The sequence below is a fragment of the Homo sapiens genome, chromosome 1, assembly GCF_000001405.40.
Source record: "Homo sapiens chromosome 1, GRCh38.p14 Primary Assembly".
NCBI classification, from domain to species: Eukaryota; Metazoa; Chordata; class Mammalia; order Primates; family Hominidae; genus Homo; species Homo sapiens.
In genome coordinates, this window is record NC_000001.11 from 154,407,970 (window position 1) to 154,423,957 (window position 15,988).

Consider the following 15,988-nt stretch of genomic DNA (forward strand, 5'->3'; position numbering starts at 1 on the left):
CCTTCTAGGGCACCTCTTCCTGCCCCCATTACCCACACACGTGCCTAGCCTCACCCTAAATCAGTATTTCTCAAAAGCTTAGTTCTGAGCCTAGCATCAGATCTGGTGTGTGTGCTGGGTGGGAGGGCTTTGGTAAACATGATGATTTTTGAACCCTAACCCAGATTTATTAAATAAGAACACCTAGGAGTGAGGCCTGGGGCATGTCCTTTTAAACAAACTGCCCCTTGTGATTCTTAGGCACTGTCAGGTTTGAGGACGGCTGCCTAAATGGTGTCATTGAGGAACTGAATGAAGGCCCTCCCGCTTCGGGCTCTCTGTTGCCAGAAATCTCTCCTTGCTTTGGCTTGCTGCTTGTTTATTCATTGCAGCAAACATTTCTTGAGTCGGTGTAGAGCCTGTGAGGCCTGTGTAGGATCAGCTATGCAGACTCCACCCTAAAAGGAGCCTGAAAATGGTCATGGGTAAATCCTGAGAAGGGCTGAGAAACCCCAGACTCTGACCGGGCCACTGGGTACCAACTACCCGTGAACAGATTGTCTGGCTTGGGGTAGGGGGTGGTTAGAGAGAGGAAGTTCCTCTGACTGAGGACCAAGATCCCAAGGCAGCAGGCACACTGATCCTGACCCTGACCCTCATCTCCAGCCCTCAGCAGCCAGGGTAAACAAATACTCCCCTCACTGGGTATTTGTAGATTACACAAAGTAACCTAGGTGCTGACTGCTGAAAATATACACTCCCTTCCCCCGTCTCCTGAATCCTGGTCCCACCAGGCCTGGAAGCCACAGACCCAGCAAGCAAAAGAGTTTCCAGTCAATGAATCTAGTCTGGATTGAAGCTGTGCTCTGTAATACGGTAGCCACTAGCCACGTGTACCTATTTAAATTTAAATTATGCCAGCGCAGTGACTCACGCCTGTAATCCCAGTACTTTGGGAGGCTGAGGCAGGAGGATCTCTTGAGCTCAGGAGTTGGAGACCAGCCTGGGCAACAGGGTGAGATGCCGTCTCTACAAAAAGATTTAAAAAATTAGCTGGGCACAGTGACATGAGCCTGTAGTCCCTGCTACTGAGAAGGCTGAGGTGGGAGAATCACTTGAGTCCAGTCTGCATGGAGCCATGTTTGCACTACCGAATTCCAGTCTGGGCGACAGGAGACCCTGTCTCCAAAAAATTAATTTAAATGAAATCAAATAAAAACTTAGTTTCTTAGTTGCACTAGTCACATTTTAAGTGCTCAACACTCACATTGCTAGTGGCTACTGTACTGAACAGTGCAGATACAGATCTCTTCCATCATCGTGGAAAGCCCTACTGGACGGTGCTGGGCTAGAGTGTTAACCAGTTTCTTCCAGAGGTTTTCTGTTCTCTTTTCCTTTATCCCCCTCTGCCTTCTGCTCTCCTCCACCTGAACACAGCTCATTTTGCATAGGTGATGGCTAAGGTCTTCAAGCCAGGCACATCTCTGCCCTGCACTGCCAAGTAAAAATGATAACACCTTGGGCAAGTGATTTAACTTCTTTGACAGCCAGTGTTCTAGAAAATAGAAATAATTGTATTACCTCGAAGGGTGGTTATGAAGATGAGATGAGCTAAGTAAGGTATTAAATAGAGTGTTTACAGAAGTCCCTAACACACAGCAAGTGCTTAAATAAGTGTAGGTGATCATTCATTCACTCCAAAAATATATTTTTGGAGTGAACACCTCCTACTCTGTTCCAGGCACTATTCTAAGAGCTGGAGATACACCATGAATAAAAGAGACAAAAACCCCAGGCTTAGTTGAGTTTCATTCTAGTGTGGGAGACTATTAACAGGATGTAAATTAAGTATGTGGTATGCTAGCGACTAGTGCTAAGGAGAAAAACTAAAGCCGAGAGGGAGACAGACCCCATGTGTGTTTGTGGCAGGGTGGGGTGGCATGGTGCCTTGGATGGGAGGCCAGGGAATGCCTTGCTGAGAACATAATATTTGAGTGAAGACCTGAAGAAAATATACAAATCTCTAGAGATTCCCTATATGTCCATCTTGGGCAGGAAAATTCTTGCCTCCTCTTTAACAATGTGTACTACCTGAGGGTGTGTTATGTTCTGGAGCAGAGGGCTCTGTGGGGACACATGGATGCTCCCTGCCCTGGAGAAGTATCTCTGGGGTAACAAGTCCTCAGCCCTTTAGCTCCTTGAAGTCTAGCAGAGGGAAGTGCTAAATGCCAGGTCATAACTGCAAGTCTGCAGGTGGGATCCTTGAGGGCTGGAGTGGCAAGGGGAAGGTGACAAAGAAAAGGCCTTTTTTTTTTTTTTAAATACAGGATCTTACTCCCGTAGCCCAGGTTGGAGTGCAGTGGCACAATCACTGCTCACTGCAGCCTCGACTTCCTGGTCTCAGGTGATCCTCCCACCTCAGCTTCCGGAATAGCTGGGACTACAGGCGTGCACCACCACATCTGGCTAATTTTTTGTATTTCTTGTAGAGACAGGATTTCGCCATGTTGCAGGCTGCTCTGGAACACCTAGGCTCAAGCAGTTCACCCGCCTTGGCCTCCCAAAGTGCTGGGATTACAGGCGTGAGCCTTTGTGTCCAGCTGGGAGGTTTTTTTGTGTAGTTAATCTGTGTTCTTTACCCTCTCCTCTTGCCTGGGATCTGAAGAGGTCAAAAGTCCCTGGCAAAGGCAGAGGCTTTTCTGCCACTGGGTTCAGGCTTGACGTTAGCTGGACCTCAGCAGCCTCCCCCACTCCTGCTCATCCCTTGCCAGCTCTGTCGGGTGCTTTCTACTCTTAGGAGTATGTCCCTGAGGCCCTGCATCCAGCCTATTCTCCCCAGCACCTGTTCTCTGAATCAGTTCCCACTCCACTTCCCAACCGCTTTCCCGAAAAGCATCCTTTGGTCTTCCCTCTCTATATGATGGTTACAATAACTGTTACCATTTATGGTGTGTCAACTGTGTGCAAGTAGCTGTGCTAGGCCCTTGGCATCTGTGATCTCATGTAATCTTCAAAACAGCCTCAGGTGAGAGAAGTGCTGGCCCCATTGCATAGATGGTGGGCTGTAGGACAAGATGAGAGGCCAGTTTTGCACATATGGAAACAAATGTCTTTTGTTTTCGTTTTTGTTTTGAGACAGAGTCTCTGTCTCCCAGGCTGGAGTGCAGTGGTGCAATCTTGGCTCACTGCAACCTCTGCCTCCCGGGTTCAAGCGATTCTCCTGCCTCTGCCTCCAGAGTAGCTGGCATTACGGGTGCACACCACCACACCTGGCTAATTTTTGTATTTTTAGTAGAGATGGGGTTTCACCAGGTTGCCAGTCTGGTCTCGAACTCCTGACCTCAAGTGATCTGCCTGCCTCGGCCTCCCAAAGTGCTATAGGATTGCAGGCATGAGCCACCGCGCCTGGCCGCAACGAGACAATCAAGAGAAGATGCTGATAAGGAGTTGGATATGGGAGTCAGGAATTTGGGAATGAGGACTGAGCTTGAGATGTAAATGTGGGAGTCGTGTGCTGGCAGATATTATTTCAAGCCCTGAGAGTGGCTGAGGTCCCCCACATCTATTCATATGCCTTTGGTCAGTGGAATGTTTTGCAATCCACATCACTATAAATGAATTTCCTCTGTCTCTGAGAGAGGCCGCTGAGGTAGCAGAGAGAAAACAGCTTTGAGGGCAGGCAGTCCAGGCCTGTCTCCCCATTAACTGCTTCACCAGCTAGGGGACCTTTGGGCAAGTCACTACAAGCTTTAAAGTATAAAATACTTTTTGAGGCCGGATGTGGTGTATCATGTCTGTCATCCCAGTGCTTTAGGAGGCCAAGGCAGGAGGATCACTTGAGCCCAGGAGTTCGAGGCTGCAGTGAACCGTGACAGCAACACTGCACTCCAACCTGGGTGACAAAGCAAGACCCTGTCTCAACAACAACAACAACAAAAGTATAAAATACTGTAACAGACAAAAATGCATGCTTGATAAATGTTATTGATCCTAAGAGCCTTTTTTTTTTTTTTTTTTGAGATGGAGTCTTGCTCTGTCGCCCAGGCTGGAGTGCAGTGGCGCGATCTCAGCTCACTGCAACATCCGCCTCCCAGGTTCACGCAGTTCTCCTGCCTCAGCCTCCCGAGTAGCTGGGACTACAGGCATCCGCCACGACGCCTGGCTAATTTTTTGTATTTTTAGTAGAGACGGGGTTTCACTGTGTCAGCCAGGAGAGTCTTGATCTCCTGACCTTGTGATCTGCCCACCTCGTCCTCTCAAAGTGCTGGGATTACAGGTGTGAGCCACCGTGCCCGGTGAGCCTTTTTTTTTTGTTTTTGTTTTGAGACAGAGTCTCACTGTGTTGCCCAGGCTGGAGTGCAGTGGCACAATCTCAGCTCACTGCAACCTCTGCCTCCCAGGTTCAAGCAATTCTCCTGCCTCAGCCTCCTGGCCTCAGCTGGGATTACTGGTGCCTGCCACCACACCCGGCTAATTTTTTTGTATTTTTAGTAGAGACGGGGTTTCACCATGTTGGCCAGGCTGGTCTCGAACTCCTGACCTCAGGTGATCCACCCACCTTGGCCTCCCAAAGTGCTGGGATTACAGACGTGAGCTACCGCGCCCGGCCTTTAAAAGCCTATTTTGATGGGAGGAGGGGGATGCTATAATGTGAGGACTTTCTCCCAGAAAAGGAGAGAGAGGCACTAATGCAGTGGGGATAATAATTAAAATCGCTTAACATTTTTTTTGAAAGATTAGGTATGTTCTGAAAATAGTGCTGAGGTTTTTGCATTAATTATCTAATGTAATCCTGACAACATTTGAAGTACCTATGGTTATTATTTCTATTTTATGGATGAGAAAAGTGAGGCCTAGAGAGGTTGAGAAACAAGCCCAAAGTCACACAGCTAGTGAGTGACTGAGATAGGGTTGGAACTTGGGTATATCTGAATCCTGGGCTTGACCTGTAGACCCCTGCTCCTGTGGACTAGGAAATTTAAACAAAGAACTTCCTCTTTTTTTTTTTTTTTGTATTTCATTATATGGATGTACTGAGTTTATTTATCTGGTTCCCCCCCTTTTTTTTTTTGAGACAGAGTCTTGCTCTGTCGCTCAGACTTGAGTGCAGTGGCACGATGTTGGCTCACTGCAACCTCTGCCTCCCGGGTTCAAGCAATTCTCCTGCCTCAGCCTCCCGAGTAGCTGGGATTACAGGCATGCACCACCAAGCCAGGCTAATTTTTGTATTTTTAGTAGAGATGGGGTTTCACCATGTTGGCCAGGCTGGTCTCAAACTCCTGACCTCGTGATCCACCCACCTTGGCCTCCCAAAGTGCTGGGATTACAGGCATGGGCCACTGTGTCCGGCCACCCGGTTACCTTTTGATGGATGTTTAGTTGTTCCCTTCTTGCTCTTACGGCCCCTGCTGTGGGGAATAACTTTGCATATGCCTCTTGTTGTGTGAGTGCAAGTACACCTGCAGGATATATTCCCCGAAGGGGAATTGATGGGCAAAGGCCATGAGATTTGTCATCGTGAGACAGAATAGAAGTTGCACCAATTTATACTTCCAGCAGCATTGTGAGAATGCTTGTGTCCCTATGCCCTTGCCAAAAGTGTACTATTAACCTGGTATCTACACAGACAATGGCGTCTGTGTGGAATTAATTTGCATTTATCTTATCTGAATAAGATTGTATGGGTTTTTTAATGTATAACTGACATTTGCATAATCTACTATGACCTGCCTGTTCATATTCAATGCTAATTTTATTTTGATTGGGTCATTAATCTTATTGTTTACAGGAGCTCTTGACATATTAACATGTCATACATGACTTTTTTTTTTTTTTTTTTGGTGGTGGGGGTGGTTTTTGCCAAGAAATTTCTTTTTTTCCATCTCTCTCTCTCTCTCTCTTTCTTTCTCAGGGTCTCACGGTGTCACCCAGGCTGGAGTGCAGTGACATGCTCATGGCTCACTGCAGCCTCAATTTCCTGGGACTCAAGCGATCCTCCTGTCTCAGACTTCTGAGTATGAGGCTCAGACTCAAAAGATTGGGGCTTTTACAGGTGCACACCACCACACTTGACTAGCCTTTGTATTTTTTGTAGAGACGGGATTTTGCCATGTTGCTCAGACTGGTCTCAAACTCTGGGTTCAAGCGATCCTCCCTCCTTGGCCTCCCAAAGTGCTGGGATTACAGGTGTGAGCCACTGCGCCTGGCTGCAAATTTTTTTTTCCAACTAGTTGAATTTACCAGTCTCTTTTATAGCTTCTAGGTTTTGTGTCATACTTAATAACATCCTTCCCATTCCAATATTTTATTTTTATTTATTTTTTGAGAGAATGTCAATCCACCTTTATTGGAGGAAACCTTGCACTGTAACTGTTTTAAATAATGTGTGCCCTGCCCCACCCTGTGCCTGGTGGGCTCAGAAGATCATCTCCAGCTGCCGGGCATACTCGGTGACCTGTTTGGCCAGTTCTGTGGAGGGAATGGTAGTGTCTTCTGGCTCCTGCTGCTGGCCGGCAAAACTATATTAGTTGTTGGGGCCCGGGACCCACCCTCACTTCTTGGTGTAGTCGGTCATCTTTTTGGGTGTGTTGAAGAAGAGGATCTGGTGGCCTCGGTAAAAGGGATTTTCTCATAGGCTTTCTTGATGCACCCGGCCATCTCATCCCTGATAGTGTCAAGCAGGATGTCGATGAAGACGGTGTAGCTCTTGGCGAGGATGTTACCCTTGGCCAGGAACACTTTGTTGTAGCTGCCCTCCATTAGGTATTGCTCCAGGGACACAGGGTTTTTGGTGTAGACATTGGTCTGGATGTCCTTGGCAGGCAGCCACTCCAGCTCCATGTGGAACTCAGCCACCCGCTTCTGGGACAGCAGGAAGAGGAGATTGAGGCCCAAGAGCTGGTGCATGTAGGCTGACTGGGGAAGCTGTTCCTTGTAATCAAAGTAGCAGCATTTGAGCTGGGTCATGTGGCGCTGGAAGGAGGGGATGTCCTCGCATAGGATGCTCCACTGGCCCCGATCTTCAGTATGTCACGGGCCAGAATGAGCTGCTGTTTGGTCAGCTTGGTCCCTGTGGTTGGCAAGAAGTTGAGCTCCAGAAGAACTAGCTTGAGGCAGCCCAGCTCTTCCCTGCACTTGCTAAGATTGGGGCTTTTACGGTTCCACTCGCCCTTGAGTTGCTTGTACTTGCCGTCCTCAGCCTGCAGGACAGGGCCCTAGGTCGCCAGGGGCCCGGAGCTCAAGGCGCCGGCTGCACTGTTCACCTCCACCCCCATTCCAATATTTTAAAAGATTCTCCTTTTCTGGTATTGTTAAAAGTTTTAAAAGTTTAAATATTTGATCCATTTTGAATTTATTAATATTATGGATGAGGTATGAAGTCTGACTCCAGCTTTTTCTTTCCAGTTGTCACCTGACATCTCTTTACAGTTTATTGAATTCATCTTTCCCCCACCAATTTTCAAAGTTACATTTTAAATCTACCAAATTCCTGTATACTTGGGTTTATACGCCTCTTGGCATAGCGAGTAGTTAAAAGCACAAATTCTGAGGCCCAATTGTCTGGACTTGAATGCAGGTCACCCCTAATTAGCTATATAACCTCAGTCTCTTCTTCTGTCAAATAGACTATTGAGAAGATCAAGTTAGTTAATCTATGTAGCACACTTAGAAACTGCCTGTATGTGTAGCAAGCACTTAGACTAAGTTATTTTTTTAATGTGGTAAAAACACATAATATAAAATGTATCAGCCGGGTGCAGTGGCTCACACCTGTAATCCCAGCACTTTGGGAGGCCGAGGCAGGTGGATCATTTGAGGTCAGGAGTTTGAAACCAGCATGACCAACATGGTGAAACCCCATCTCTACTAAAAATACAAAAAGTAGCCAGCTGTGGTGACAGGCACCTGTAATCCCAGCTACTCCGGAGGCTGAGGCAAGAGGGGAGGCAGAGGTTGCAGTGAGCCACGATTGTGCCACTGCACTCCAGCCTGGGCGACAAGAGTAAGACTCCATCTCAAAAAAAAATAAAATAAAATAACCATTTTAAAGTATACAGATCAGTAGTGCAGACTAAACTATTTTTTATTTTTATTAGTTCTGAACTTTCTAGTCTCTTCCATAATTTGGTCTCCCTATTCATGTGCCAGTATCGCACTGTTTTAATTATGTAGTTTTATTTTTTCCTTCCTATTTTTTTAGAGGAAGGGTCTCACTCTGTTGCCAAGGCTGGAGTGCAGTGTCTTGATCATAGCTCACTGCAACCTTGAACTCCTGGACTCACGCAATCCTCTTGCCTTGGCTTTCTGAGTAGCCAGGACCACAGGTGCATGACACCATGACTGGCTAATTTAAAAAAAAATTTTTTTTTTTTTTTTTGTAGAGATGGAGTTTTGCTATGTTGCCTAGGCTGGTCTTGAGCTCCTGGTCTCAAGAGATCCTCCCGCCTCAGCCTCCCAAAGTGTTGGCATTACAGGCATGAGCCACTGCACCTGGCCAAGTAAACTTTAGAGATTAATTAGGGAACACTGATGTATTTTTAATGCCGAGTCTTCCTATCTCTTGGTAGGCCTGATGGGGCTTATGATGAGGGAGGAGGAGCTGGGGCAGGAGAGCCCGACATTCAGGTCTCACTGAGGGGAGATGTGCCCAGGACACTTCCACTGGAACTGCTTCCTTGATGGTGATGTGGAGTGAGCTGGACCAGTGTGTGCGTGCATGTGTCTACCCAAGCTCATGGCACATGGGGGAGCGGAGGGGGTGGGGATGGCTCAGCAGTGATTGGAATGCAAGAGTGGGGACTTTGGGGCCTGTATGAAAAAGTGTTATGGCAGAGTGACACACCTACGAAAGAGTGTGGTCAGCATAGGCCTCACACTGGGTGGGTTTTTACAAACTGAACACATGCATGGAACCACCATTCAGAATAAGAACTGAACAGAAGCATCCTCAGGGGAGCCCTGAAATCCCCCTATGCACACCCCTCAAACCTCCCCTTATCCCTCCCAGCTGCTCCATCCACACCTCCACGTGACTTCTTAAATCTTCAGCTTTGCTGCCTCATAGCTAAGGGGGTCAGGGAGGGGAAGCTGGGGGGTCTGTAGATATGGAATGGGGGTGCGTACATCAGGTCCCTCCCTCTCCCTGCCCTCCTGCCACCTTCCAGAAGCACATAAAAAAAATCTGACTGAGGGCCAGCCTCTTTGTTATACTCTGAGACTGTGCTCAGAGATAGAAGACAAGACCCCTAGGCCATGCTTCTGGGAAGGCAGAGGGCTGCGTGTTAAGCCTGGACCGAGAGTCCCAGAGCCCAGCTCCGGTCCTGACACCATGCACTGCTGTGTGACTTCTGGGCCCTGGTTCTCCTCATCCACCAAAATGAGCAGGTTGGCCTGAGTCGTCCTTAAGAGTCCTGTATAGCCTTAAAACAGCGCTCCTTATCTCAGCACCCTACACACTGGCTGTAGCTTCTCCTCACTGTCCCTTTCAGGACCAAAATACTGGGTGTATCCATCTGCAGGTACCAATGGCTTTCTTCTAAGGCCCTGCTGCGTCCTGCTTTTAATCTCTTTATTTCTCTATCTGCTCCTGGGGTTAGGTTTGGGCCAGGGAGTGGATTGTTTGCCCTCCTTAGATATCCTTTCTTTTTTTGAGACAGGGTTGCCCAGGGTGGAGTGCAGTGGTGCGATCTCGGCTCACTGCAAACTCCATCTCCGGGGTTCAAGTGATTCTCCTACCTCAGCCTCCCGAGTAGCTGGGATTACAGGCATGCACCACTATGCCCAGCTAATTTTTTTTTTTTTTTTTTTTTGAGATGGAGTTTCACTCTTGTTGCCCAGGCTGGAGTGCAGTGGCATGATCTCAGCTCACTGCAACCTTCCGGTTTCAAGCGATTCTCCTGCCTCAGCCTCCCAAGTAGCTGGGATTACAGGCACCCGCCACCATACCCGGCTAATTTTTGTATTTTTAGTAGAGACAGGATTTCACCATGTTGGCCAAGCTGATCTCAAACTCCTGACCTTGTGATCCGACCTTCTCTGTCTCCCAAAGTGCTGGGATTACAGGCGTGAGCCACTTCACCCGGCCTAATTTTTGTATTTTTTGGTATGGATGGGGTTTCACCATTTTGGCTAGGCTGGTCTTGAACTCCTGATCTCAGGTGATCCGCCAGCCTCAGCCTCCCAAAGTGCTGAGATTACAGGCGTGAGCTGCCGCACATGGCCTTAGATATCTTTTCCTCTAATTAGTTTATAATCTCTGAGAGTTGACCCAGGTTGTACCTTCTTGGACTGGAGCCAGGTGGTTATCTCTGATGCTGCCAGAGGAGGATTAGATGTTTTATCTCCTGAGTTGGTCACACGCGCACGTGGGTCTCTGAGTCAGCATTGAGCATTACCTGTTTATGGGTCCAAAGGAGCCTCCCTCCCAGACCCTCTCTCCAGCAGTGTACAGTCCATCGTGTGGATGGGAGGAAGGCAAGGCCAAGGTAAATACTGACTCAGACAAATACAAGCAGGTACAAGAAGTACAAATACATATGTGGGGGAGGAGGGAGCAGGGGCCTGCCAGCCAAAGCTAGTCATCTGAGAAGAGGGGGTTGCGGACAGGTGGGGCTGGGAGCTGAGTCAGAGAAGGTTGCTGGGCCTCCCATTAGAGCCTGGGAGCCTTGACTTGCCGTAGCCTGCGGCCTTGCCTCTTCCTGGACAGTGGCCGAGGGTGCCCTCTGAAATGTTAAGGAGAAATGAATGGGCCCAGATGGTGGGGTGACTTGGGGAGGACGCGAGATTTGGAGTCCAAGGGGAGGCAGTTTTAGGCTCTAACTCATCCTATACACGCTGCGGCTGTGGGGGAAGGGAGAGAAAGGCCAAGGGCACGACTCCTGGCTCCTGAGAGTCCCCAGTGCCCCATTAGGTTGGCAGCTGCAGTGATGGCGCTGACCCCCCCTTGTGCACACCCCTCAAGCCTCAGCATTCCCTTCCCTGGGCCTCTGAAGGGTGGAAAGATGTGAGAAGAGCAGGGAAGAGGAGAGGAAATTGGGAGAGGGGGAGAGAGAGGGTGGTGGGGAGCCCAGAGAAGGGAGCTGGGGGTGGAGCATGGAGAGGTACCTGGGCCAAGTAGAGAGAGGCTTTGGCCAGGCTCATCTGGGTCCAGCGTGGATTCCCTCATGCATGAGCTGTGTGAATTTGGGCAAGTTCCCTAACTTCTCTGATCTCTTGTTGCCTCAACAATGAAATGGGGACAAGACTTCCTCCCTGGCAGACTTTTTGTGAGTAGTGTGCTCTTAGGGAAAGCCCAGGGCGCAGGGTAAGTGTCCCAGTTGCTAATGATTGTTATGGTTATTATCACATCAAAGCCAGGAGCCAGTCTCAGTCCAAAGATGGAGAATGCAAGAACAGGTGACCAAGAGCACTGGGACTTGTCCTAGCCCTCGTGGGACCAAATTCTATACTTGTTTCCATGTGGACACAAGGTGTCCACAGGCTTCTCCTGGAGGCTTCTCAGCACCCACCTACTTTTAGATCAAGACCATTATTGCTGACAGGGGACCTTTGTTTCCTCTGTAGCCCCTTCTGAAATCCTATGCCTTTGCAACCCAAGAAGCTGGGTTAGGCTGGGGGCCTCCTGTGCTGCCAGCTGGCCTGGGCAGCGGGGACCTGCGTCTCTGCTCAGAAACTGGGGTGGTGAGATGGGATTAGCAGGCACGAGCCAAGCCTGTGTCCTCGGTGGCAGGCCAGGCAGCTGGTTCACCGCTTACATAAACGGGGCCAGGAAGCTGAACTTGTTTTTGCTGGCAAGAGCTGCGGCAAGCTGCAAGAGAGTTGAGAAATATGTGTCTCCGTGTGCGTGTTTTTCTCTGGTTATTGACATTTGCAAGTTTACTTGAAGAGGGGGAAAAAGTAGAAAAACAACAAAGCTGTTTGGATTCCTGGCACCCAAACTTAGGTCCCAACTGGGGAGGAACCCCACTTTCCCAGAGCTGTGCTGCAGGGTCCCCAGACCAAAGGGTGTCTGGGCCATGGTGGGGGTCCCAGTGTCCCTGGGAGGGGGAATCCTAGGCCACCGGGGCAGGGAGATATGGGCTTGCTTGTTGGGAGTTACTAGGACCTAAACTCTCTTTCCCTTGAGGAATGGGAGGCAAGGGAGGTTGTGGGAATTTTCCCTCCCCTAGAGCTCTCCAGGGAGAAAGAAGCATTTTTCTGAGGGCACTGGGATGATCTGGTCATCATCCTTCTCCCAAAGCCATCAACTATTAAATAATAAATCCATAGATTCATTATGTGTTTTCAAGCTGAGTATTGTTTGCTTCCTGCCCTCTGAGAGCTAATGATTGGGCGCCATGGGATGCTAGACCGCAGGAGTGGGGGCCTGTGGGGGATCTACAGGTCACAGTCTGAATCCTCATTTCACAGAGAAGGCCAGTGGGCTCTGCCAGGGGCGGTGACGTGCCCATGGCTGCCTGTGAGTCATCACAAGACCAGGAATAGAACTCAGGTCACCTGACAGCACAGAGCTGTTTCCTCTACACCAAGGGGCCTCCTGCTTGTGGAGATGTACTTTATTTTATTTTATTTATTTATTTATTTATTTATTTATTTTCAAGAAGGAGTCTCGCCCAGGCTGGAGTGCAGTGGTGCAATCTCAGCTCACTGCAGCCTTCGACTCACTGCAGCCTCTGCCTCCCGGATTCAAGCGATTCTCATGCCTCAGCCTCCTGAGTAGCTGGGATTACAGGCACACACCACCAAGCCTGGCTAATTTTTGTATTTTTAATAGAGACAGGGTTTCACCATGTTGGCCAGGCTGGTCTCGAACTCCTGACCTCAAGTGATCCACCCGTCTCAGCCTCCCAAAGTGCTGAGATTACAGGCGTGAGCCACTGCACCCTACTGAGATGTACTTTATATTAAAGAACAAATCAAGGCAGACTGTACGTTTGTGTCAGCCCAACCCCACACAATTAATAGTCAGTGATTAAACTGACCAGACCAGACCAGACACCAACACTGACTGTTGAGGAGGAGCTTGGGGGTTTGTTTTCGGGAGGCAATACTGCCTCCTTTTGTGATCTTAGTCCCAGGTGAGGTGCTTCCTTGTCCTCTCTGCAGAATCCCATTCTTTCTTAGCCTGGGCTGAAGCTGCTCCCTCCCTGTATGTGACCCTGGCCTTGGCGCAGTCCTTGGGTGCTCTTCCTCCCTCCTGCCTCTGCGCTGCTTCATGATGCACAGGAGCCAAGGAGGGGCAGGGGACAGTCGGTTTTTTCTCAGGGAGATTGGAAGAGAACAGAAACAAGAAGCAATGGAATGCTCCTGTCCTGGAGGTTGGTGGGGCAGTGGGGAGAGGTGGGGAAGCCATTGAGCCTGCACATACTTTTGACAGGCTTGGCTCATGCCTGCCAACCCCATCCCACCGCCTGGGTTTCTGAGCAGGGACATGGGTCCCCACTGCCCAGGCCAGCTGGCAGCACAGGATGGCCTCCAACCTAACCCAGGCTCTTGGGTTGCAAAGGCATAGCATTTCAGAAGGGGCCACAGAGGAACCAAAAGTCCCCCTGCCTGTGGAGTCAGGCCTGATCTCTTTGAGGGTGCTCACACCCTCCATGTTCCCCTGTAGGTCTTCCTTCCCTCCTTACTGCATTTCAGATACTCCAGACACCAGCCCTCCCCAGAACTCTCACTGTTTTTTGTTTTTTTGAGACACAGTCTTGCTCTGGGTCCCAGGCTGGAGTGCAGTGGCACAATCACAGCTCACTTCAGACTTGACCTCCTGGGCTCAAGTGATCCTTCTGCCACAGCCTCCCAGATAGCTGGGACCGCAGACATGTGTCACCATGCCCAGCTAATTTTAGAGTTTTTTGGTAGAGATGGAGTTTTGCCGTGTTGCCCAGGCTGGTCTCAGCCACCTGGGCACAAACGATCCTCCCATCTCAGCCTCCCAATGTGCTGGGATGACAGGCGTAAGCCACGATGCCTGGTGACTCTCAATTCTTTTTTTTTTAATTATTATTATTATTATTTTGGAGATAGAGTTTCACTTTTGTGGCCCAGGCTGGAGTGCAATGGTGCAATCTCAGTTCACTGCAATCTCTGCCTCCTGGGTTCAAGTGATTCTCCTGCCTCAGCCTCCTGAGTAGCTGGGATTACAGGTGTGTGCCACCACGCCCGGCTAATTTTGTATTTTTAGTATGGGGTTTCTCCATGTTGGTCAGGCTGCTCTCAAACTCCCGACCTCAGGTGATCTGCCCGCCTCGGCCTCCCACAGTGCTGGGATTACAGGCGTGAGCCACGGCGCCTGGTGACTCAGTTCTTAATGCCTTGCATATACTGTTCTCTCTTTATGGAATGTAACTCCCTGTGGCTCCACTTATCAAACCCCCACTCATTTATCAAGGCCCCAATAAAATCTCTCTTCCCCCTTTAGAATAATTGATCCCTCTTCTTAGTTCCCTCAGTATGTTGGAGACATTTATATCAGGTTGGCCTGTATTACAGATAGTTTTAAGTTCTAGGGCTTTGTGGGGTTTAAAGAAGATTACGATATGGAAATGATAGGAAGGAGTGCCAGTGCATTGTAGATGCTCAGTAGCTTCAATATGGAGTTTTTTTTTTCCTGGATTAGGAACTTCTGAACTTGCACATCATGGGTGCACAAAAATTATTGAATTCTTGAAGAAGGGACAGGCATAGGCTTGCAATCCTGGCTCTGAATGCTGAGCAATTGCTCACGGACAAATGCTCCGTTGATTGTGTGCTCTTTGCTAAATTTCAGTGTGTGCACCAGCCACGCCTTCGCCCCCGCGTGCCCCGTCTCCTAGGGCCTACTATGCAAGGCCTGTGTCAGGCCGGGGTGGGAGCATGAGAATGACTGGGCATATCTCCCAGGACCAGGAAGGACTGCTCTCAGGAGCCCCCTCCTCACCTGGTTCCTCATCGTGTCTCTTCCTTTTGGCCCTTCTCTTTGGTAGGGCCTACTTAGGGAGGGCCCCAGCAGATTCCCAGGGAACAGAAAAACAGACAGATGGGAGGAATCAAGGCTGAGCCCAGGGATGGTGTCTTGTGTCCACCAGGGAATCAGGCCTACAGGGGAGGGCTGGGCTATGGGTGCAGAATTCAGTGACAGTGACAGTGAGAGAACTCAGCAGTGCAAGGGCAAAGTGGCACTGTTTGGCCTGAAGGTGCTCGGAAGCTGCTTGTATTGAAAAATCCACCCTCATCCCCCGACATCCCTCAGTGCCCACTGCGCTCTGCCGTGCCCTCTCCCTCCTTCCTAGAAATCCTAACTCACACAGACCCAGGCTATGTAGCTTGTTTAATTAAATATATATATATATATATATATATGTATTCATTATAAGAGCAATATAGGCAACTTATAGAAAATTCAAAAACTACAGAAAGACACAGGGAAGAGAAAGAAATCACCTCTAACACCATCATTTGGAGAGGAGGGCAGAGGTAGGGAGAGGACACTTCTATGAATGTTACTTGTTCTGAGAGTCACCCATGAGGCTTCCCCACTGCCACCCAGCTGTCAGGGGTACTGAGTCAGAGATTTGGGTCAGGAGGCAGAGGGCTGAGTGGGTGGGAGGGAAGGGGCGGTGCTGCCCACTCTGACTTTAGCAAGTATGTTTTCTTATAGTCTTTATGAGTATTTCTTTGATCATTCTGCATACAGTGCTTTTAAAAGCGTAGTTAACACAGTGTTGTTCGCAGGTTCTAGAGGAAATATATTTTGAAGCAGGGCTGTGACAGGCAATACTTGCCAATGGGTGGTTTATAATTAATCATTCCCTGTTTTAAAAAATAGTGACTCAGTTTTAAAGATTCAGAAAGCCATTACTCAAGTTCCTTGGCAGAGGAAGTGGCCATTATGTTGCTCCCTGCAGCTCTGCTTTTGTGGAAGAGGGAAAAAAAAGTATTTTTATTTGGTATTTCTCTGAGCTGCTCAGATACTTTGGCCATTGTTAGTGAGTGCAGGAGCAGAACAGCCCCTGCTATTGTTCAGGCTGGCCGC

General features: G+C 49.0%; 1 protein-coding gene and 1 pseudogene across 18 annotated transcripts in view, besides 1 other annotated feature; one reads left to right on the forward strand and one right to left on the reverse strand.

The window, feature by feature from the left end:
• Window positions 1-15,988, forward strand: part of IL6R (interleukin 6 receptor) — a 64,108-nt gene that overhangs the window by 2,627 nt on the left and 45,493 nt on the right. Inside the window, exon 1 of one of the 18 annotated variants that reach the window (XM_047419648.1) lies at window positions 10,138-10,463. The exons of 15 other annotated variants lie outside the window; for them this stretch is intronic. In XM_047419648.1, coding sequence (XP_047275604.1) covers window positions 10,442-10,463 — 22 coding nt within the window. In that variant the 5' untranslated portion in view covers window positions 10,138-10,441. Of the gene's footprint in view, window positions 1-10,137; window positions 10,464-15,988 lie in introns of those variants that run through there. 2 more of the 18 variants (XM_047419649.1, XM_047419650.1) reach the window with 2 other exon arrangements.
• Window positions 6,303-7,253, reverse strand: PSMD8P1 (proteasome 26S subunit, non-ATPase, 8 pseudogene 1; annotated as a pseudogene).
• Window positions 10,244-10,757: an enhancer, noted in NCBI's record as "H3K4me1 hESC enhancer chr1:154390689-154391202 (GRCh37/hg19 assembly coordinates)". NCBI's record gives its function as "activates a minimal SCP1, AML or CMV promoter by ChIP-STARR-seq in primed H9 embryonic stem cells {active_cell/tissue: H9 hESC(primed)}" and the evidence as "EXISTENCE:reporter gene assay evidence [ECO:0000049][PMID:30033119]".